The sequence below is a fragment of the Homo sapiens genome, chromosome 9, assembly GCF_000001405.40.
Source record: "Homo sapiens chromosome 9, GRCh38.p14 Primary Assembly".
NCBI lineage: Eukaryota > Metazoa > Chordata > Mammalia > Primates > Hominidae > Homo > Homo sapiens.
The window spans coordinates 83,266,677-83,290,871 of NC_000009.12; the positions used below are offsets into that span (position 1 = coordinate 83,266,677).

At 42.8% G+C, this 24,195-nt stretch overlaps 1 protein-coding gene, 2 long non-coding RNA genes and 1 pseudogene across 20 annotated transcripts in view; 3 read left to right on the forward strand and 1 right to left on the reverse strand.

Moving 5' to 3' along the window:
• The window catches only part of FRMD3-AS1 (FRMD3 antisense RNA 1), a 51,489-nt gene extending 47,332 nt beyond the window's left edge, over positions 1-4,157 (forward strand). Inside the window, exon 3 of the long non-coding RNA NR_184120.1 lies at positions 3,319-4,157. This is a non-coding gene — a long non-coding RNA (FRMD3 antisense RNA 1). The remainder of the gene's footprint in view (positions 1-3,318) is intronic.
• FRMD3 (FERM domain containing 3) overlaps positions 1-24,195 on the reverse strand; it is a 342,803-nt gene that overhangs the window by 23,685 nt on the left and 294,923 nt on the right. For 11 of the 13 annotated variants that reach the window (NM_001244959.2, NM_001244961.2, XM_024447487.2 and 8 more), the window contains one exon: positions 23,927-24,051. In NM_001244959.2, the coding sequence (NP_001231888.1) occupies positions 23,927-24,051 (125 nt within the window). Of the gene's footprint in view, positions 1-335; positions 593-23,926; positions 24,052-24,195 lie in introns of those variants that run through there. The other 2 variants (NM_001244962.2, NM_001375487.1) reach the window with 1 other exon arrangement.
• Positions 7,165-23,191, forward strand: LOC124902190 (uncharacterized). Of its 6 annotated transcripts, none has more exons than XR_007061610.1 (5): positions 7,243-7,280; positions 8,451-8,894; positions 9,772-9,883; positions 12,481-12,578; positions 20,548-23,191. It is a non-coding gene; the product is annotated as an uncharacterized LOC124902190 (long non-coding RNA). The 6 variants fall into 6 exon arrangements; XR_007061611.1 differs by having other exon boundaries at positions 8,451-8,537; XR_007061614.1 differs by lacking the exon at positions 8,451-8,894 and having other exon boundaries at positions 7,165-7,280; positions 9,772-12,578.
• RNU4-29P (RNA, U4 small nuclear 29, pseudogene) lies at positions 9,265-9,438 on the forward strand (annotated as a pseudogene).

Consider the following 24,195-nt stretch of genomic DNA (forward strand, 5'->3'; position numbering starts at 1 on the left):
CTTCTCCCTAATCTTCTCATGTTATGGAACAATCTGGAGGTACACACCACCACTGCCTCCCTCTCCCTCCTGACTCACTGCTGACTAGGGTGTAATTTGTATTTATGACAACTTTATATCATTTGGAACACACCCTCCTGTTTCCCCTTTGCACTGGCTTGCTCACCCTCCTTCCCACTCGTCTCTGCTTTTCTCCCTTCCTCTCTCTCTTTTCATCCTTATCAAAAACCTCTGACACCAAATTCACCCTGGGCCTCTCTCCACCAGCAGTGAGCAGGAAGCTGGAAGCCCGCACACTTCAGGAACAGGATGACAGCCCAGGGCACCACACATACCAGTGTTACGAGCTGTGACCTTGGAGCCGAGTCTCAGCAGACGAACAAACACATTACTGTTGCAGTGGTTCACCATGTGCAATTGGAGGCTTCGTCGAGTCTGGATCTTGACCAAGCATTTTGCCATACTGGTTATTCCAATCCCCTTGGTCTCCTCGGCCTGCATGGCCCAGGGCAGCCTTTCCCTAACAGTCCATTCTGTTTTAAAGGACCTAGGCAGGACCCACTGAATGAATCAAATGTCAGGTTCCTAATGCGGCCAACAGAAATAACTCATGAGGGATCAGCATTGGGAGGGGAGGAGGGAGGGGACGCTATTTTTAAACTCTCCACTCACCCCTCTAACAAACAATGAAAGATTATGCATCATCCCTACTCTAGCCTTTCTAAACCTTCCGGACCAAAACAGAGGACCCTGTCCAAATGCCTCATCATTTCCTAAGAATCAAATGTCCCCAAAAGATAAGATGACAACTGGATAATTCCATAATGGAGAAATAACCCACTTTTTCTTCTAAAAATTGCTCCTCCAGCCTTTATTATATTCTACAGCAGTACTGTCCAGTAAGATTATAACACAAGCCACTTCAAAGAGGGAAAAAAAGCATTTAAAAAGCAAAATAAATGTATTACAATTAATTTTAATAATGTGTTTTATTTGAAATCGAGATATTCAAATAGTATCTCAACAGGTAATGATATCAAAATTTATTAATAATTAATCAACTCTTTTATTAATAAAGAGTTTGCATTCTTTTTTGGGACGAAGCCTTTGGAATTAGTGTGTGTTGCACACTGCACATGTATAGCACATCTCAATTCGAACCAGCTCCATTTCAAGTGTTCAGTAGCTATATATGGTTGCTGTCATGGTAATCTCAGCTCTTTTCAAAGTGCTGGATTCCTCACATGCCTTATCTCCATCTCATAACAATGCTAATCTTTTCTTCACTTTACAGATAAGGAAACGACAACTTAGAGAGAGTAACTGACCTGACCACAATCACGAAGTTAGTAAGTGGCAAAGCCATGATTTGAACCTAGGCTTCCAATTAATATCGGCTGACTAAAGTTAGTGTTCTAAATGCAGGTGCCATGCAACCACTACATTCTGACTTTTCATGAAAAGGATGAGAAGAAAAAATTTTCCTCACACAATTTCAACACGCCTGCATACATTCTTCTACTTTAAATATCTGTCACCAAAAGATGATTTTCTAATAATCCTCTATGAAACAAAGGTTTATTCAGAGCAGGAATTGAAATTCCATGTTGTTATGCATCAATATAAAATTGATTTAGCATTTCTGGAAAGAAAATTAGCAAAATACATGGATTTTTATAGCTGTGGTATTCTTTGAACCAGAAATTCCACTTTTAAGAATTAACCCTGAGAAAATAATCAGAAATGCTGACAAAAATCTTAAGACAAAGATGTTCATCAGAGTATCATTTATTATAGCCAAAAATGTTTTTTAAGTCAACCTATATTTCCAGTGGGAAAATGGTTAAATACATGTGATGAAATATTGCACAGACATTAAAATTCATGTTTAGAAGAATTTAATGATGTGAGAAAATGCTTGCAATATACTACTAACTGAAAAAAGCATCTTTATATAAATGGTGTGGCATCGACTATGTAAAACTGCACACAGGATAAATGTAAGACCAGACAGTAAATCCCAGAAGGGAAAAAGGGTGTTGCCAGCCATGCACTGTGGCTGAGGTGGGGCAGGCCATTTCCAGGGACCTCAATGGGCCCCCCACTCCCCTCTCCTGGGTGAGCAGCCTCCAGTGTGGCAGAGGAGTTCCTACTCTCACAGGAGTTAGTTAATTTTCAACCCTGAAGCTTGAAAGGAAAATATCCCTAAAAGTTCTCAAAATCTTCAACCCTTTGCAATTCCCCCTGATTATATAATTCTGAGCAGAATCCCCAGGTTTAAAACAGATAGACTGACGCAAAGGTGGGGCCCAGGACTAGTACCTACTACACCTCCCTCACTAGTCACCAACAATGGTTCTTGAAGAACTACTAAAAATCTTTAGGACACTGAAGAACAAATCTGAAAATCACTGTTCACAATAAATCACTACTTTGCAGTAACACACGATGAATTTCATAGATTAACCGGGGCTCATTTGCATGGCAGTAGGCCATGGCTCAATACTGAGGAAATCTCCCTTTGGCCTGTCTGAAGGGAATATAGATAAATCTTTATGTTTATCATCATGTTAAAACAACATATGACCTGACAGCTCACTTGAAACAAACAGACCTTCCAAAGACAAAAGAGAAAACAAGTAAAAAACCTGAAACAAAACTATCACCATATTTTATTTCTGTTTTTTTCTACCAGGATAGTTATTCTCCATAATTCTCAAGCTTAACATCTCACCATTGTTTCAAATGCCTCCTTCCTACCTTTCATTTTAAAAGTATTATTATCTTTGGGAGGCCGAGGCCGGCAGATCACTTGAGATCAGGAGTTCAAAACAAGCCTGGCCAACATGGTGAAACCCCATCTCTATTAAAAATACAAAAAAATTAGCCAGGCGTGGTGGCGGGCACCTGTAATCCCAGGTACTCGGGAGGCTGAGGCAGGAGAATTGCATAAACCCGGGAGGCGGAGGTTGCAGCAAGCCGAGATCTCACCGCCGCACTCTAGCCTGGGAGACAGAGTGAGACTCTGTCTCAAAAAACAAAAGTATTATTATTATTTTACTATAAACAAACAAACAAAAGTATTATTATTATTTTAACTATAGCCAGTCATAATATTTAGCATTTCACATGTTTTTCACTTTTTCCCCTCTTAAACCTGCTCTCACTCTTTACGCTACTTTTCAGAGATCGTAAGTAGATTCCTTTACTCTTGCTTTTTATGGATCTTCTCCTTTCATGGAGAAAGATAAGCTAGCAAGACAAGCATTCTATATTGCCTCAGCCATTTCTCTCTACCTTGTCTGACTCTGCCCACAGGGGTGTCTACCTTTCAAGAGGAACAAGAAAAGAGAGGTGGGAATATGGAACCAAGCCAAAGATTCTGCAGGATCCTGCACAGTGAGCATTGTTCTGGTTCAGGCCACTGTGCTCAACTGAACAGTATCAGTAGCACAACATTTGGATGCCCTTGAATACTGTTCCTGTTTCAATTCATTTGTTTGTCTGAGAATTGGGAATGCATGTCTGGGCAGTGACAAGAGGCCAAAGAAAGCAGAAGATGTGTGAAGAGGAGAATCGATTTTCCATAATGAGATGTCAGAAACACTGCTTGCTAAGTCAGCCTGAAACCAAAGAAGAAGAATGGCATTCAGTGATAAGAACTGTTCATGAGCCTGAATTCCATGGCTGCTCCTGCACAAACCACCGGACACAGATCCGGGGAAAGGCAACAAAGTTGCCTCTACTTTGTGAGTGGCTAGAAGTTACTGGACATCTGGGAGCCCTGGTGCCTTGACTGTAAAATGGAGACAACAACTCCTCTCATGGTTGTTATGACAAGGAAATGAGAGATACATATCAAGTGCCTAACATAGAGCTGGCTCCTATGAACCAGAACTTATTAAGCAATTGTAGAAGGCAAGATTTAAAGCACAGACTTTGGAGCAGTCCTTGGGTTCCAATCCTGGCTGCATCGTTTATCATCTCTGAGCCTCAGTTTCCACATCTGTAACAAAAGCTTTCATTTTACAGATGTAAAAGCAGTGTGTACCTCCAAGGGGTGGTTGTGAGGATTAATCAAGTTAATACACATGGCATTCTCAGATCAGTGCCTTGCACGGCAATTTACTCAATAAATGTTAGCGATTTTTTTTCAATACATGGTCATTTTTTTTTTTTTTGGTCTCTTTTTAACTGCTCAAGAGGAAGACTGTGAGGATTTTAAATAGCCTGGATTCTCTTCCTTCTGTCAACCATATGTCTTAACATACTATTACGAGTTACTCCTCCCCAATAGTAGCAGTATTGCTGGTTGTGAGGAGTTAACCCGGCCATGCCTATTACCTTGGGAAACCTACAGAAGCCTGCTGAATGCAATTTTCTATCTGCAAAATGGTGAGGATACTGGGTGTTTACATGACTGGGTTCCTGACATGGAATAGGCATTTAATAAATACTAACTATAATTATATCATCATCAATATCATGCAATTTATCTACATTAGAAACCAACAGACTTGACAAGTATAGTGGAGTCAGCCATTAGTTAAAATAGTTTGAGAGATTCACTGAAATTTTAGCTAACTGCTAGCTCCAAGTGGAAAGATAATAAATTATTATTACATTCATTAAATGTTCTTTGTAATCAGGTTAGACATTAAGTATCCATTAAAAAGAGTCCTTGGGACTAACATATACTTCAGAGGACTTTTTAAAGATTGTATTAATAAAACATATAAACAATAATTTTAATAATATATTTATGATAGGAGGGGTATATTCTTGGGTATACAGTAAAAAGAAAGGGAAGCTGTTCCCAACATCACTGAGAGACTGAGAGAAAGGACCATATGGCCAGGTAATCAACCATTTGTATAACTTAATTTCCTTGTTTGGAAAGTGAGACAACAGTATCTGTTCTATCCAATTCAAAGAAATGGTCATGAGTGTCAAATTATGATAACTTACATGAACAAAACCCTGGAAATGCATAAGATGCTTTGGCATATTAGACACTGTTCCTCTTATGATTTCCCATATCAGACTGAATGTTTCCTGCCTGTAAGCTGAGATAACTGCTCTCTGGGGCCCAGCATCACCTTGTAGAGTCTGGGGAAAGGTCAATAAAAATCCTCTGGAGAATACAGTTGCAGACAAAGTATAGTTCAAGCAGCACAGCTGGGCATTCTTCAACACCACTGTTCTCAGTAGCTCTAAGACCTCCTTATCATGACTTACTTCCTTGTATTTTCCTGACTCTCCAACTTATTTATAAACGGAAAAGAGCACATCATTCAAAGCAGTCGGTTAACTTAGGTAAGGAAAGCCAACAAGCATGATTGTGACTCAAGATAGTTGCTCTTGTTAAGTCACTGCTCCTGCTCTCCCTCTCCCTCCCCCTCCCCCTCTCCCTCCATCTCTGTCTCCCTCTCTCTCCTCTGTCTCCCTCTCTCTCCACGGTCTCCCTCTGATGCCTAGCTGAAGCTGGACTGTACTGCCGCCATCTTGGCTCACTGCAACCTCCCTGCCTGATTCTCCTGCCTCAGCCTGCCCAGTGCCTGGGATTGCAGGCGGGCGCCGCCACGCCTGACTGGTTTTCGTTTTTTTTTTTGGTGGAGACGGGGTTTCGCTGTGTTGGCCGGGCTGGTCTCCAGCTCCTAACCCCAAGTGATCTGCCAGCCTTGGCCTCCCGAGGTGCCGGGATTGCAGACGGAGTCTCGTTCACTCAGTGCTCAATGTTGCCCAGGCTGGAGTGCAGTGGCGTGATCCCCGCTCGCTACAACCTCCACCTCCCAGCCGCCTGCCTTGGCCTCCCAAAGTGCCGAGATTGCAGCTTCTGCCCGGCCGCCACCCCCTCTGGGAAGTGAGGAGCATCTCTGCCTGGCCGCCCATCGTCTGGGATGTCAGGAGCCCCTCTGCCCGGCCGCCCAGTCTGGGAAGTGAGGAGCGCCTCTGCCCGGCTGCCCAGTCTGGTAAGTGAGGAGCGCCTCTGCCCGGCTGCCCAGTCTGGGAAGTGAGGAGCGCCTCTTCCCGGCCGCCATCCCATCTAGGAAGTGAGGAGCGTCTCTGCCCGGCCGCCCATCATCTGAGATGTGGGGAGTGCCTCTGCCCCGCCGCCCCGTCTGGGATGTGAGGAGCGCCTCTGCCCGGCCACGACCCCATCTGGGAGGTGAGGAGCGTCTCTGCCCGGCCACCCCGTCCGAGAAGTGAGGAGCCCCTCCGCCCGGCAGCCGCCCCGTCTGAGAAGTGAGGAGCCCCTCCGCCCGGCAGCCGCCCCGTCTGGGAAGTGAGGAGCATCTCCGCCCGGCAGCCGCCCCGTCCGGGAGGGAGGTGGGGGGCAGCCCCCACCCAGCCAGCTGCCCCGTCCGGGAGGTGGGGGGGGGCGCCTCTGCCCGGCCACCCCTTCTGGGAAGTGAGGAGCCCCTCTGCCCGGCTGCCACCCCATCTGGGAGGTGTACCCAACAGCTCATTGAGAACGGGCCATGATGACGATGGTGGTTTTGTCGAATAGAAAAGGGGGAAATGTGGGGAAAAGATAGAGAAATCAGATTGTTGCTGTGTCTGTGTAGAAAGAAGTAGACATGGGAGACTCCATTTTGTTCTGTACTAAGAAAATTTCTTCTGCCTTGGGATGCTGTTAATCTATAACCTTACCCCCAACCCCGTGCTCTCTGAAACATGTGCTGTGTCCACTCAGGGTTAAATGGATTAAGGGCGGTGCAAGATGTGCTTTGTTAAACAGATGCTTGAAGGCAGCATACTGGTTAAGAGTCATCAGCACTCCCTAATCTCAAGTACCCAGGGACACAAACACTGCGGAAGGCCGCAGGGTCCTCTGCCTAGGAAAACCAGAGACCCTTGTTCACTTGTTTATCTGCTGACCTTCCCTCCACTATTGTCCTATGACCCTGCCAAATCCGATCAATAAATACTAAAAAAAAAAAAAAAAAACCTGGGGAAAAAAAAAAAAGTTACTGCTCCTGTTACAAAGAATGCATACAGTTCCTCACCCCCTCCAAGAAATTGACTAAGATTTATGCACAAAGTGTCTAAAATTATCATATTCTGCTCCAATAGGATAACATTTAAATGCACTTTAAAATAAAATTAGAACAAAAATACAAAAAAGTCACTTGGTGTTTTCTTTTCTTTTTTTTGAGACAGGGTCTTGCTCTGTCACCCAGGCTGGAGTTCAGTGGCCCATCCATAGCTCACTGCAGCCTCGACCTCCTGGGCTTCAAAGTGATCCTCCTGCCTCAGCCTGCCAAGCAGCTAGGACTGTAAGTACACGCCATCAAATTTGGATAATTTTTTTACATTTTTTTATAGAGACGGCATCTCACTAGGTTTCTCAGGCTGGTCTTGAACTCCTAGCCTCAGGGATCTTCCCACCTCAGCCTCCAAAAGCACTAAGGATTACAGGCATGAGCCATCATGCCTGGCCCATTTGTTCTTTTTAAATGATATAAAAAGCCTGATGCATTATAAATATGCACAGCACTTATTATGAGTTCTCAGTGGAAGCAAATTAGAACTCTGGATTTTGTGTTTTACTCTACAACACAGGACTTCTATTTAATCTTAGGGCTTCAGGTCAGGACCAGAAGAGTCAGCTAGATTGAGTCCTCTCCCTTCAGTCATCTATCCCTTATTGAGCAGTCCCCAAGGGCAGGGCACCACTTAGGCCAGACATTTAAACTGACAGAAAGAGGTGTTTTAAGTACCCTGAGGAAGAAATAAACAGAGGAGAAAACTATTAATGCCATGTCATGTCAAGAGCCAAGAAATATGTCATAGAGGAGGAGCCACTTGAGAAATCAGTATCAATTTACCTGGTGCAGCAAGGAAAAGAAAAAAGAACAGCCAGAGCAAGGGAACCAGCACGAGAAGGAAGGAATTGGCACAGACAGGTGGTGCTGGAAGGAGAAGCTTTGTCTGAGAGAGAAGGATAAGAGGGTCCAGGTGGGACAAAAGGCCTTGCAGGGAACTAAGGCTGGAGAGGAGGGTGGAGGCCAGTGTGTGAGGAACCATTGGCCCCACTGTATGGGACTGGACTCTCCATGCAGTCAATGGCCAGGTTCTAGAAACTACTTCCAGCAAAGACTGTAGCAGGAGTTCAGGGGATGGGCTACAGGGAGATCAATAAGAAAGATGTTGCAATGTTCCAAGAAAGAGAAGAAGAGATAGCAGGGAACAGGTGGTTAGGACTTCTTCTGAGATAGAATTCATAGGACTCTGGTGTCTCAGTAGACGTGGAGTGTGGGGAAGGGTAACAAGGCAAGGGTGGCTTCCAGGCCTCTTGCTGGGACAGCTGTGTACATAGTGATGTCATCAACCAAGTCAGCAGGAGCAGGTTTGAGACTGGGTTTTGGAGAAAAAAGAAGTCATGAGTGGAGTTGTAAACATATTAAGCTTGATGCGTTAAATATGAGCTGTTATGTGCCCTCCAGGTGGAGGTGTCCAATAAGCAGCTGAAAGCACAGAGCAGTAGCATGGGACCGAGCCGTCGGCATGGAGGTCAGGATCACGGAGAGGAGGTCAGGATCACTTTACTCTGTGAAAACACTATGCCTGGGATTCCGACTTCCTTCTCTCCACTTCTCTGCCTTGTCTCTCTCCAAATACCAATGAAGAACAAAAACAGTATTTTGAAATACTGATCAATGAGCTTCTCCTTCCACCTGTGCTTACAAAATTCCTGAAGGCCTTCTAATGATCCCCAGCCTAGGCAGCAAAACTAGCCCACCCAAAAATAAAACAATGACCATGAATAGCTGATCACTAATTTCACAAGTCATTGCTCCAAGGCAGAAAGACCTCCTCCCCGACCTGCAGATGGGACAAAATAATCTGAAGGGAAAAGTGAAGAAGCCACAAGTAGAGGAGATGGTGAGGTAAGGGACCCCCAACCTCTAAGGATCAAGCACCATATACTGTGAACATCATTATGCAACAAGCCACCCATAGATTGTGCAGTAAGATAATTGTCCATCTCCTCTCTGATTTACCTACTATAAGAAACACCCTTACACTCAACAGCCCATGGTACGCTAAACCCTCATGAATAAAACTAGGGCCTGAATACCTATGGTTTACTCCAACTATAGGGGTGGGAGTAACATGAAGGGAAACCTTCCATAGCTGTCCATGGATGAAACCAGCTGAAAAGCTCCCATAGAGGCCAGACAGGGAATTTCACAACTATAATGTGTTCTTCAGAAACATGCATGAGGAATTCTCTTGTAGTATAATTTAAATTATCTCAGCTTTGCACAGTGGCAGTATTGTAGCCAGTGAGGTTCATCCGAGGCACAATTATTGGCTAATTAAACTATCTCACTGACCAAGGCTACCTATAACTCATATAAACAAAGTGTTTTTCCTTTATCTTGGTTGAACCTAGGGCTTAAGAATTCCTTGATGTTCCATGACTTGGATACATTAAGGCAATCTATTGATGGTAAACTTTTATCAGATGCCAATGTAGTCTCCCAAGATTTCCTGGAGGGGAAATGGATAACAACACTGAACTTACTGACTCCAATTAGAACAGCCTATTTTGGTTCCTGTGTAATACTCTCAAGAAAGAGTCTACTTCCTTTGTCCCCATACAGGATGAATTTGTTTCTCCATCACTTCTGCTTTATTATTTCACTCCCTCCAGACATAAGTCATAATTAAAGATAATGCATTTTTCTCTGAGTAAAGGAAATTACATTATATTACATAAATAAATGAAGCTTTAATTTTGTTCTCCATATTTCTCAACAGCTTTGCAGATGGTATTAAGAAACAGGGCATCTGTGTCTCCCTGTGGAAAAACCCAGGCTCTTCTGGAACTGTGGGCTCCTTGTGTTGCTGTCATGTAATCAAGAAGCTAGAGGTAGCAGAACCCAATCCTTACACCCAAAACACTAGCCAAGGGCATCTTTCTCTCTTGCATCTAGCTATGACTCCAAAAGAGAAGAGCAAATGGTCGCTACATGCAAAACAAGTTGCCAACCACCATAGGTTTTGTCTTTCAAATTATCAAATATATGTATACATACTGAGACAGAGTTTCACTCTTGTTGCCCAGGCTACAGTGCAATGGTGTGATTTCAGCTCACTGCAACCTCCACCTCCCAGGTTCAAGCGATTCTCATGCCTCAGCCTCCCGAGTAGCTGGGATTACAGGTGCCCACCACCATGCATGGCTAATTTTTGCATTTTCAGTAGAGATGGGGTTTCACCATGTTAGTCAAGCTGGTCTCGAACTCCTGACTTCAGGTGATCCACCCAAAAGTGCTGGGATTACAGGCGTGAGCCACCGCACCCAGCCAAATTATCAAATATTTTTTAAAAGTGTTATATCCAGTTTTCGCAGGGCTACAATGAGAGATATTCTCATATACAGTTTGGTGGGATGTGTGGAGGAAAGATGGTAAGAAATATTTTTGCATATTTATGTGGTAGAATATTGTATGTCCATTGAATATAAAATTATAGAAGAATATTTAATGTAATGGGAAATATTCATGTGAAATGAAAAAGCAGATTATAAAATAGCATCTCTAGTATATTTTTGTTAAAATTATAAAAATTGTCAGTAATATATAGATGGATTCTACACATTTATAACAGTTTTAGTATCAGGTGGTTTTTAAATTTTATTTGTGTTTTTGTATTTTCCAAATTTTCTACAATGACTATGGTATTTTTTTTAAGAGATGGAGTCTCACTCTGATGCCCAGGCTGAAGTGTAATGGTATGATCATGGCTTACTGTCGCCTCAAATTCCCAGGCTCAAGTGATCCTTCCACCTCAGCCTCTTGAGTAGCTGGGCCTACAGGCACATGCCATTACCCTTGGCAATTTTATTTTTGGTAGAGACAGAGTTTTGCCGTGTTGCCCAGGCTGGTCTCAAACTCCTGAGCTCAAGTGATACTCCTGCCTTGGCCTCCCAAAGTGCTAGGAGTATAGGCATGAGCCACCACACTTGGTCTAGTATTGCTTTTGATTTCACACTAAAAAACATAACAAGAGAGCATGCTTGACTTCTGGCAAACCCTAATCCCAGGAGAATATTCTACTTGTATGCTTTCTTTTATATAAATAAATGCTGTCCTGGTTGCATTTAGAATCCATACATTCATTCATTCATTTGTTCATTAATTCAGCAAATATTAGTTTAGCTCTTACTTTGTACCGGAACATCCCTAAATGCTGGGAATAGTGAGGGAAACAAGGTAAAGTCCTTGCTCTTTTGGAGCTGGTGTTTTAGTTAGGGAAGGCAGTCAACAAACAGGAAGACAAACAAGTGAGACAGTGTTTGATAGTGTCAGGTGTTCTGAAGAAAATAAAACAGGGTGATAGCATGAGAGGGAGCAAACAGGTAGATTGGAGGAATTACTCAGAATTAGGCACTGAGGGAAGACCTTCCAAGGAGCTGAAATTTGAGCTAAAACTTAAAGAAAAGAAACAGCCATACAAAGACCAGAGAGAAGACCCTCCTGGGTGGGGGAAACAGCTCTTGCAAAGGTCCTTGAGATTGCCATGAGCTCAGCCTATTCAAGGGAGAACGGGAAACAGTCTGAGGGGTGGGCAGGAGGCAAAGCAAGAAGGGCTTCATAGGCCAGAGGAAGGAGCTGAGATTTTAACATAAGTAGATCTGAGCTCCACTTACCAAAATAATCCCCTGGCTACTGTATGGAAAATATGGATGAGAGGATGGGGATAGGAGTGGAAGCAGAGAACCCCTCAGGCGATAACTGCACATCCAGTAGACAGAGATGAGGGGCTGCACATGGCTTGGGTGGCCATGGAAATACATTTGGGTTATACTGAAAAGGTTAGGATTTTACAGATGAATTTGACAATTCAATATCTTATGACCACTGGGCAATGGGAGAAGTTTGACGGGAAAGGCAAGCATTTACAAGTCTGACTCTACTAAGAGCCTGTTCTGGAAAGAGAACATGGCCCCAGGGGACATAAGACATGAAGGATGACCCACGTGGACTGTCAATCAGCAAGCAGGGGCACGTCCCCAGCCACAGGGTCAGAGTCAGAAGCCCGGTCTAGCCCCAGAGACAAGGGCTGTCAAGGTCCTGAGGGAGCAGAGTGCTGGGGGTCAGGGCGGGGACCAGGGCAGGGACTCAGGAAAGGGAAGGTGGGCATGAGAGCCAGAGAGCAGGACAGAGCAACAGAGAGAGCAAACTAAGGGCCCATCCAAAGGGCTGGGCTTGGGCTTCTCAGTTCCCTCCCCAGTAAGGGTACAATTGGTCCTAGAGCTGGGGTGGGGCCAAGCCTGTATTTAGGGGCCAATTTGTTCAGCTAGGCCAAGGTGCTAGGCAGGTACTGAGAAGACCACAGATCACAAGGGATGCTCTATTTTTTAAATATGGATAACCCTTTCCTTAATAACAAAATTTCCAGCCTATGTTCCGATTATCAAGTGAGTCATTCTGAAAACCCTGTTTATTTCTCTTTCACCCAAAGCATCTGCCCATTATCACATTTCTAATGTTGAAGTGGAGATATGAGGATTTTGAAAGTTCCCAATTGGATGCCTCTAAAGGAAGTGAGGGCTCTTTCAAGTAAGAAAAACTCATTTTATATTACCTTTTAAGCTAGCTGTTATTAATTTTCAATTTTATGCTAGAAATTTGCAACTCACAAAAAGAAAGGAAAAAAGTTAAACCCTGATTTTAAATATCATTGTTCCCCATTTTTCATGTCTCAGTTACCACATTTAAAAAGAAGATGGCACCATTTGTCCAAGGAATCTCATTACTGGGTATATGCCCAAAGGAATATAAATCATTCTATTATAAAGATACAAGCAAGTGTGTGTTCATTGCGGCACTATTCACAATAGCAAAAAATCAACCCAAATCCCCATCAATGAGAGACTGGATTAAAAAAAGTGGTACATATATACCATGGAATACTATGCAGCCATAAAAAAGAACAAGATCATGTCCTTTGGAGGGACATGGAGGGAGCTGGAAGCCATTAGCTTCAGAAAACTAACACGGGAACAGAAAACCACACACCAAATGTTCTCACTTGTAAGTGGGAGTTGAACAATGAGAACACATGGACACAGAGAGGGGAACAACACACACTGGGGCCTGTCAGCAGGGGGTCGGGGGAGGGAGAGCGTCAGGATAAATAGCTAATGTATGTAGGGCTTAATACCTAGGTGAGGTAATAAGATGATAGGTGCAGCAAACCACCATGGCACACGTCTACCTATGTAACAAACATGCACGTTCTGTACATGTATCCTGGAACTTAAAATTTTCTAAAAAAGTAAAATAAAACTGTCTTTCATAGAATAAAAAGCAAGAAAGAAGATGGCTATACCTTTTGCTTTCAAAAGCAATGACCAATGATCTAAAACCATGTAAATAAGAGCAGTAGCAATCTGGAGAAAGAATTATTAAAGAACAATCAGAGTGGAGAAGAAACTCAGAAATAATCTCATCATGTGTTACAGAAGAGAAAATAAGATCTAGGTCATATCAATGTCCAGCACGTGCCAGATAAGAAGTAAATGTTAATCAAGTGAACAAATGAATGAACAAAGCTTGGCCCTCTCATTCTCTGTCCAATGCTCTTCCCGCCACCAGAGAATCCCCACTAATATTGTATTCGGTGTCCACTCAAGTGCAGTCCAGCACCTGTGTATATTGGAGACTTAGGGGTCACCATACGATGCTTAAATGAGAGTGACACAGCACCTACCCAATAGCTTGGCAAAAGCCCTGACTGTGTTTGGGTGACTCACCCTGGTTTACCAGAGTGATAGACCAAAAGCATGTAAAATGGCATGTCACCACCATAACTAGAGCAGACAGTTCTCACATCTATTTTGGAATCTAGGGCTTTGGCATGAACAGAGATTTCAGAGTTTCAAAAACATATCACCCCCGCCCCTTTTCGTTTTGGTAGACTCATCTTCAAGATCTAGAGCAGCTGTTTCCAAATCTTCTTTTGGGGAAAAAATATTTGTGCATACAAATAATTGCATATTTATTTATAAATTAGATACATGTATATCTGTCATTGTATATATGCACATTATAAAACCTATACAACAGAAATTTTATGAAGAGGTGATAAAAATAAAATATCAGTAGAAGTCTGAATAATTTCTTCCTCCACCCCAGTGGATCATTGTATGTACCCTGCTCTGGAAGCCACAGCTCTAGGACCTCCAATTCACCATCTGCCAAACCAGGAAGGAGACTGCACTCCTCTGTTTACAGCATTGAGCGTACACTCCCAAGACTCAGCCTTGAGCCAGCTGACCAGAGCCTCTTCTCTGAACCTTGCCTGTATTGCCTCAGATCTATTATAAAGAGCCCACCTAAAAGAATGGTAACCAGCACACACTGCCCAACACTTTCTCTTATTTAAGTGGCACTGGATCTTAAGAGAAGGGAGGAGACGGAGGGAGAGGCTCTGAGATCCTGTCTCAATTTAAGCTTGGGGATTGCAAAGAACATCTACTTAACACTCACTACCAACCCACTGACAAAAATGCAAGAAAATAGAACCCCATGCATCTAAAACTCAGAAAATTCTAGCTTCTGCTTTCTAGCAACAATAGGTTTAGTAATATTTTCACCTTTCCTCTCCTGTGGTTTCTTAGGGAAGTAGTGAGAGTGTCTATTTATCTAAGTGCCAAGCAAAATGTCTTCCCCTCCGCAGACCACACTCTGGCTGTCACAGCTGGTCACACAACACTCTCCTCTGGCTCAAATCCCAGCCCTCAAGGACATGACTAGACTACTTCCTAGGACACTTGACTGACTCATTTTTTCACCCTAGCCAAGTCCTTTGAAGCAATTAATTATTATTAAGTGGGGTAGCAAAATGCTCACCTGAACAGGAGGAATGATTTGGGAAGCTCTGCTACTGAATTGCTTCCACGAAGACAGCCACTCTTAACACAGACTGTAAGTAAATGAGTAATTAGAACCAGCCCTGGAATGAGTCATTCCTTATTTAATGAATTCAACTTTAAAACCAGAACATGATTCCCAGAAGGGAGCGAGCTTCCTGTGGGAAGTCTGTTTCCCCTGCAGCCTGGCTCTACTAAGAATTCTGTTTGCTGCAACACACTCGGTCCCCAGCCTTCTCACCACTCCTTCTAGGGTGATGGAAGTCTCTGAGGAGTCAGCAGGTCCTGGCATGCTGTGCTGGAAAACCAAAGCCTTGCACCCTGTCCCGTATACACACGAGCTCTTCTCATTGAACCACAGAGGTCACCCATACTTAAATAAAATATGTTGTCTCTTTTGATCATTCATTTGCTATAATTGAAAAATAGATGTAGTTTCTTAGTTACCCATTCTGTTTCAGCAAGAAGGAGTTGAGTCATTTTAGCTGTGTTCAATGCCATCTAAGATAGCTGGGCCAGGAATGTGAGTATAAGGATGTAATCCCAGCTTTCCAGAATACTTACCCAACCATGTAACATTGGGCAAATTTTCTCATCTCTCTAGGCTTTCTCATTTGTAGAAGAATCCTGAGGGTATGTGCTAGATCAGAGGCCAGCAAACATTTTCTACGAAGGCTTAGATTGTAAGTTTTAAGCTTTGCTGGCAAAATTTTAAAACTTAAAAGTTGAAGGTGGTTCAAAAGAGGCAAAATGGAGGATATTATATAGGTACTTTTATCATCGTCTAAAACGTAACTGTTCACTTGAAGGCCAGAAATAAGTGGTGCTGGGCCCGCCACAGGCTATATATTGCTAACCCTTGTGCAAGACCTTCCTCAACATTCCCTTTAACTCTCAAAAGCTATGAAAAATATTCCTGTCCCCAAGTTCCCATTCTCATAGTAAAAAGACCTCAAGCCACAGTCTTGGATTTTTTTTTTTTTTTTTACCTTGACATTCAGCAAAAGAATCAGAGTTAAGAGCTAGAAAGCATTTGAGTGGTGCTCAAATCCAATCTTCTTGTTTTGTGGATGAGGAAAATGAAGCTCTGAAAGGTGGATAGTCTTGTCTGTGGTCACCTGGCTGCTTGGCAGAGGAGCCAACACCAGGTTTCATCTGAGACATTAATGCAGAAAGACAGCAGCCACCTGAACCACTGCTATGCTTCCACTGCGGAATGCTGTATTTCATAAAATGAACTATTTGTGGAGAATTAGCCAACTACAAAATTGAAATGATGCACACTATTGGTGTCTTAAGATGTAAAATACAAAATGTTTGCAAGATAAGGTGCACTGAGTTTGCATCAGGAACAAGGCATTGAGCTTCCTTACAACACAGTAAACACTCAAAATTTCAAAGTCCCCTTTCAAGTGATAAAAACTTCTCGTGAGTACTTAAGTTGTCAGTAAATACAAAAACAAAAAAAAGAAAAAGAAAAAACCCAGAGTTCTAAAGACGAGAATAGCTCCAAAGAAAAACATGAAAGAAAAGGTAAAAAGCTTTTGAAAAGACTGCAAAATAGGAATCTGCAGAGCATGCTCAGGCCTTTATGTTCTCAAGCTGTTCTTGGCATCTCCTACCCTAGAGGAGTTGCTGACCCAAACTGTGATGCTGTCTTCAAGAATCCAATAGGTGTTGGCCGGGCGCGGTGGTTCACGCCTGTAATCCCAGCACTTTGGGAGGCCAAGGCGGGTGGATCATGAGGTCAGGAGATCGAGACCATCCTGGCTAACATGGTGAAACCCCGTCTCTACAAAAAATACAAAAAAATTAGCCAGGCGTGGTGGCGGGTGACTGTAATCCCAGCTACTCAGGAGGCTGAGGCAGGAGAATGGCGTGAACCCAGGAGGTGGAGCTTGCAGTGAGCCGAGATCGCACCACTACACTCCAGCCTGGGCGACAGAGCGAGAATCCATCTCAAAAAAAAAAAAAAAAAATAATAATAATAATAATAATAATAATAATCCAATAGTTGTGATAATTCTGAATTTTTATTTTGCTAATCCAATACTGCAATTATAAACAAAAACAGGAGCTGCCTTCTGTTCTGTGGAGGCATCCTAGCTCCTGCAGAAGCAACTCCAGCTACTATGTGCTTATCAGCAGCTGGAGACTATAGATGCCATTAGATAAGAATGTTCAGGATAGTCCAAGCGTGTGCAATGCGAAAATGATGCTTAAAACAGCACTTTTTATGAGTTCCTTCTAATTTAGGACATTTAACCCATTTGTCTGTATTTGTGTTAAATATGTTCCCAATTCATTGTTTGATCTCCAGTTCAACTTCTGATGTGTTTTCATGCACCAGTGTTTTCCACATTAAACAAACAAAGCAGGAATTTTAAGAATTTAGTATACTGGATAACTGCAACTGCATTAAAATGCATAGGGAAGAAATTGCTAATGCATTAACACTGATTTCCTCTACGAGGGGGCAAGCTAGGATGTTATTTTTTTTTTTTTTTTTTTTTTTGCTCATTTATGCTTTTTTGTGATTTCTGAATTTTTTAGAAGTTGATGTACTAGCTTTATAATGAAAAATAAGGCAAACAGCAATCACAAAACCCTGTGGTAGGGACAAGTCTAATTAGAACTGGGGTTGGTCATCACCAGGTAGCAGGAACCATAAGGGGAAAGGTGATTCCACAGGATTCGTAAACAGCTTCTGCTGTTTCATGGGACGTAACACAAAAGAAATTTCAAAAACACCACTGCAGCCCAGGCACGGTGGTTCACTCCTGTAATCCCAGCACTTTGGGAGGCCGAGGCGGGCAGATCACAAGGGGAAGAGATCAAGACCACCCTGGCCAACGTGGTGAAACCCCGTCTCTACCAAAAATACAAAAATTAGCTGGGCATGGTGGCGTGTGCCTGTAGACCCAGCTACTTGGGAGGCTGAGGCAGGAGAATGGCTTGAACCCAGGAGGCAGAGGTTGCAGTGAGCTGAGATTGTGCCACTGCACTCCAGCCTGGCAACAGAGCAAGACTCCATCTCAAAACAAACAAACAAACAAAACCCAGTGCATCACTGCTAATGCATATGTCCTGACACATCTGAGCCAAAGGGAAGAAATGGCTTAGCATCTGGGGGAAAATGGTGGGAAGAAAGACACCGAAGCCATAAGAATAGGGTAAATTTGTCTGAACCATGACCATGGAACTACAGAAAGGGAGAAAAGAGGGAGGAGAATGTTCACGTCAGACAGGCAGGGAGGAAGACCAAACCTGGTAGAGGGTAAGATAAGGAACTCACCATGGTATAACCACAGCAGCCTTGGGCTGTCAGAGACTTCACCAGTGACAAATCGGAGCAACTGTGTAGTGCATGAAAGACATATGCATAGACAATGCAGCAGCCCCACCAGTGACCTGTTATGTGTTCGGGTGGAGGGTGGGTGGGACCAAGAGTATGGCATGCCTGATGGATGAGGACAATACTCTTTTTACATGCACGAAATGCCTTTGCGTGTTCACACACAGACTTTCTAGAATTTCAGTGAAACCACCTTAAGCCATCTATGGTTAGGGCAAGACACTGTAAGCAACCCTTTAAACACCCCTGCCTCTGCCTTCCACACACACTTGCCATCACATGCACAACACATACATGCATTCACATATACACTCGGCACAAACACGCGCAAACACATACACAAACATTTACAGGGATGGTGCTACAGGGTGGCTTGTGAGAGTTAGTTTTACCATTCTCTTAGTTTCCAGCTATTCTTCAATAAAGATACTTTCTCGATCATATGCAAAAGCAGCTTCACATGACCCTTTAATCTAACACCCATTGCCACCCCCAAGACCCTCCTTTATAAAAATTCTGGTGTCTCCATTGTGCTTTCATTTTACCAGTAAGGGGAAAACAAATATTTTCAACTCTTATTTATTATAGTTGTACCTACCAAGCATGGCTTTTCTACCATGTTTATGCCAGCCTGCACCACTGCTATGGCAGACACCAGTGATCTTCATTGTGTGTCTGTAATTGCCAGTTACCAAGTCTCACATGATTAATTTCACTCCCCTTCTCTACTACAATCCAGCATTCTTCCATAATGAGAACATATACTCTACTGATAAAACACAGAAGCACGGTGCTATCTCCACTATGGGGAACCTGCTCCATTTTGCTTGTGAATTTATTCAGATTAATGACTCCTTAAAATGTCATTTTCACCTAGAACAATTCCCACTGTAATTTTTTTCTTCTGCAGAAATTCTCATAAGCTCTAAGTGGCACTCTTCAAATGGTTTGCCATTCTCATCTGAAGTTTTCCACAGCACTAGTTCTCTCAGATCCTGTAACCAAGCAACTTTTGGGTGGGCTTTGAAAACATTCCCGTTGCCCAGTGGTGCCTAGGAACTGATTTTGTTTTTTCTCCACCCTGACACAGCCAACTTGAGACCTAATCCTCCAGCTGTCATATGGCTGAATGGGGTCACACGTTTTCCCAGAACACCACTGCATTAATCTGGGCAATAACACTCTGCCCAGCTGTCTTTGAGAAACTTGAAAAGAATGGAAAAAGCTTGTCTGATAAATGGGTGGTCATGACCCCAGAGGGCCATGGCAGTGGCAGAGATGTCCCCACTAGTCACACCATTTAAGACAAGGTGACAGGACATTCCCATGACCTCACAGAAATAGAGATTCCATAAGTTAAGACTTTCTTCTCCCAATCTGATTTTTAAAAAATTTTTAATTAGAGAACACTTTTTTTTTTTTTTGAGACAGAGTTTCGCTCTTGTTGCCCAGGCTGGAGTGCAATGGCATGATCTCAGCTCACTGCAACCTCCACCTCCCAGGTTCAAGCAATTTTCCTGCTTCAGCCTCCCAAGTAGCTGAGATTACAGGCATATGCCACCACACCCAGCTAATTTTGTATTTTTAGTAGAGACAGGGGTTTCACCATGTTGGTCAGGCTAGTCTCGAACTCCTGACCTCAGGTGATCCACCCGCCTCAGCCTCTGAAAGTGCTGGGGTTACAGGTGTGAGCCACTGCGCCCAGCCATTAGACAACACTTTTAACAGGGCTCAAGCTGCTGATCTTGAACCGTTTACAAATCTAGTTCCAAAATATGTGATTTGAAACCCCCAGACAAGAATCTGAACCAGTATATCCAGATGGGGAACAGTGATAACAAAGGTAAGTGGTGATGCTGAGTCTCCACCACTCTGTGTTTGAAGCTCTGAGAAGCAACAGTATTATGTAACTCTCTCAATGGCTCCAACAACTCAACGAAATCATGCTGGCCATGGACTCCCTGTGTGATGCTGACACACCACTGAAACATTCCTGGGTCTCTATAGTCTCATCTTTAACATAAAGAGGTTGAAGTGTTTTCAACTCAATGTCTCCGAGATAAGAGCAGGACCCGGACGGTAGGAATCCACAGGCTGTGTCCCTACCATGTAACCAGCGACCCTGTCTCCACAAGTCTGCCTTTTACTATGCCTTGTATGCACTGCCTCCTCTCTAGTTGCATTCTCTCTGCCTGCTTCAGCCCTTGCATATCTATTCCCTGGGCTCCTCCAGTGGTTCCTGTGTAGTCTGTGCCTCCAACCCAGTGGTTTCTAACCAGAGAACTATTTTGCTCCCCAGGGGAAATTCAGCAGTATCTGGAGACATTTTTGGTTGTCAAGACCAGTGGGGTCCTTCTGGCATCTACTGGATAGAAGCCATGGAAGCTACTAAACATCCTACAATGCACAGGAATCCCACAAAAAGAACTGTCTAGCTCAAGAGGTCAGTGGCTCTGAGGTTGAAAAACTCTGCTCCAGCCATATCTGCCTCTAATCCATTCTCTACACATCACCAGAGTGATACAAAATACAACTCCCATGCCATTGATATCATTCCCATACCTGAAATCCCTCAATGCCTCCTAGCTGCTCTCAGGTTAAAGTCTAAATTCTCCTGCAAATCACACGAGGCCCATAATCTGGCCCTCTCCTACCTTTCTACCTCACCTTCACCATCCCCCAGAACCCTCTTCCCTGAAACCACACTCACACCTCATGCAGGTGAAACAGACCACTCCGTTACCAACTCTTCCTGTCCATCTCTCCCATTTATTCCTTAGCCCACTGATTTTATGTCAGACACTCCAATGGGACTAAAAAGGAACAAATGCCCTCAAGGCAGCTCAAGGCACTGATATCCAGTAGGGCACACAGAAAAGTGGGCACACAATTCAATCAGCAGAGGCAGAACTTTGTCATCGCCTCTGTGATCCCACTGCCATCTCCCCAGTGGACTGTGAGCCTCCAGAAGAGAGAGCATCTTCATGTCTTCATCTTTATAGTCCACAGGAACTTGGACATGGTAAGTGTGGTCTACAGGGTGTACAACTTGTATTTGTCACAATTGTTGCATTAAGGAATGAATGAATTCCCAGCCTCTTTAAGTTTGGCTCTAGCACAGAAATAAAAAGAAATGAAACATTAAAATATAGAGATGAAACAAAATTCTTCATAGTGCATGCACTCAAAAGCCCAGAAACAAGGCCCATTCACAAAGATGAAAACATCTTCTTTGTTTAGAGCTCTAATCTGTCTCTCTTCTCTTTATAAATCTGAGAAGTGTAAATCTATATAATAGGTATCTATCTAATGAAATGCCTGAATCCCATTGCTTGACATTCAAAGACAAGGGCCATGGAGCAGAATTTGACTAGTAACAGAGGTACAATGGTATCCAGAACACAGAGCTATGTCTCCAGTGGATATCATACGGTACCTAAGATAATTTTGCTCTTACTCTAAATTGAGAGAATCACTGTATTTATTGAAAAATTAACAATATTGTTGTTTCTACTTCTCTTGCTTTTTAATTGAGTCTATATCATGAAAGTTGTCATGACTTGTCTGAACTTTAAAACCCACAAAGATGTTCTAGCAGGGGACAAATCTCCTGGAGAAAATAATTTTATTAGATATCGATAGAGCTATTGTGGACTTCCGAAGAGAGAGATCTATCAGTTTGGCTTTACAGCTGGTAAAATAATTGAAGATGGTTCTTTAAAACAACTGGGAAAATTGAAAAGGTAGCTTATGCATTCCTATCCTGTCATGAAATTCTTTAAATTATTTTGCAGTTAATTACAATGGTTTGTCTATTGTCCATACAGTTGCTATGTCAAAAACACACCTAATATTTAGCAGTGGAACCTCATTATAGAAAATGGAGCAAAACAGATGTCCCTAACTGAATGGGATGAAGAGTATGGAAGAAAGTTTGACCAGGTTCCCTTTCACATCTTGGGGGATCATAAGGCAGCAGGCCTAGGGTTCCGTATTCCCCATAATAATCATTCAACCCATCTGGGCCTCCAAATTGCATTCCCATCTAAGCTTCCATCTTTGCAGACAAGGTACAGTCACAATTCCAGTTGTGAGATGTCCCTTCTCTTTTCTTCTCTATTAGCCACACCCTCCTTCATTTAAACTTGGGATAATCATGACCTTCAGAAAAAATGATTTTCACTCAAAGCAATATTCCAAGCATATAGGAAGAAACTCAGAAAACCCTTAGTGACCAGAAATTAAAACTGCTTTTCTTTCATTTGCAAAACACACAAAAACAGATAATCTCCTGAAAAACACAGACAAGCAACATGGACCCAGAGGCCCTTAGGCTAAGGAAATTCATTTGGCATGGAACTTACAGAGTTCATTGTTAAGATAGATAACAAAAGCCATTTATAACAAGAGTGTTCTCATTATCATCATCTCTTGTAGCCCAGTTGAAGACAAGTAGTGTCTTCTAAGATCCCATCTTTCATACTTTGCACACTTTTCCTCCACCCATGGAATTTTGGGCATCCAGTTGCCTAGTTCTCCTTCTAACCATCAAAGCTGCCTTTCAGGAAAAGATTTACTAGAATTTTTTATGTGTCACTGCAAATTGGTTGCTGCTACCTATCTCAAGGGTATCTGCATTCCAAGCCATATCCTTATTATAGACTAAGAAGTTTTCTCCTGTGAAATAAATTCTTGACTTGAAGCTGGAGGTGAAGGTGATCTTTTGGGGACAGAGTGATCTGCCCTCTTGAAACTGCCCAGTATCCAGATTTTCAACGATGAAACCAGAATCACAAAGTTAAGAAAAAGCATGTTTGTATTCAAAGGTTCCAATAAGTTTATTTTGTGTGCATTTGTTTTCAATTTAATTAATTTCATCAACTTAATTTAAACAAATCTTTGAAATTAATAAAATGTGAGATGTCTGCAGGTGTTTGCAGCAAGCATTGTGGTGAGATTCTTCCCTGAAGTAAGGAGAGTCCTTAAAAACAAAGATGCCTAGAAACACACATATTATTATTATCTTTAAAAATATAACAAATGTGGGGGTTGCAGTGGACACTTCACTTTTTTTTAGCTTGTATCAAAACTGTTGGACAATGTAAATGAAGGATCAAGAACAAGAAGCCTGGGGGAATAAATGGGATGACGAGTGTAGAGATACTTGTGGAGAACTCTTTATTGCCACCAATTTAATTGTGATTACAGTGGCAGACATCAACATCCAATAGAAGTTTCAGTGATAGAGGAAATTATCTCAGTCTCAGTGTCCAATATGGCAGCCACCAGCCACATGTGGCTATTGAGCACTGAGAATCTGGCTATTGTGACTGAGGAAATGGATTTTTAATTACAATGAATTTAAACTTAGTTTAATACAGCCACACATGGCTAATGGTTAGTGTACTGGACTGGTGTAGGTCTAACACCATTAGTCTTTTCATATATAATTTTAGAAATACTTTATACCAGTGAAGTCTCTCCAAGAGAAACTAATAGAGCTCCCAGTATAATACAGCCTTCCAGCTGCAAAAAGCTTATTTACTAAAAACATAGTTTATGGCCCACTCCACCCCATACACTAATCAATTACCCATCATATGCAGAATTGGCGCCTCCCTTGTTTTTTCCAGAGGAAGCCTGCAGCACCAGCATTTGGGATGAAGAGACAGACTTACCCTCACCCAGAGGAAGTTCTTCTTCTTGCTCGCTGGGGGAAGGAAGCAGGGGCTGCAGGGGTTCCATGTTAATGATGAGCTGTTTGTTCAAGGAGTGGGAACTGCGGCTCTGAGTAATGTTGGCTCTGAAAACAGACACAAGCCAGACAGAGTTGGTTTCCATCACAAATGCTGGCCCCTCCATCTCAGCGGGCTGCCCAAGCTACCATTTTGTGTCTACAGGGAACTACCTCCAGACACAGTGAATTGAGCCAGTAGTAAAGATGACG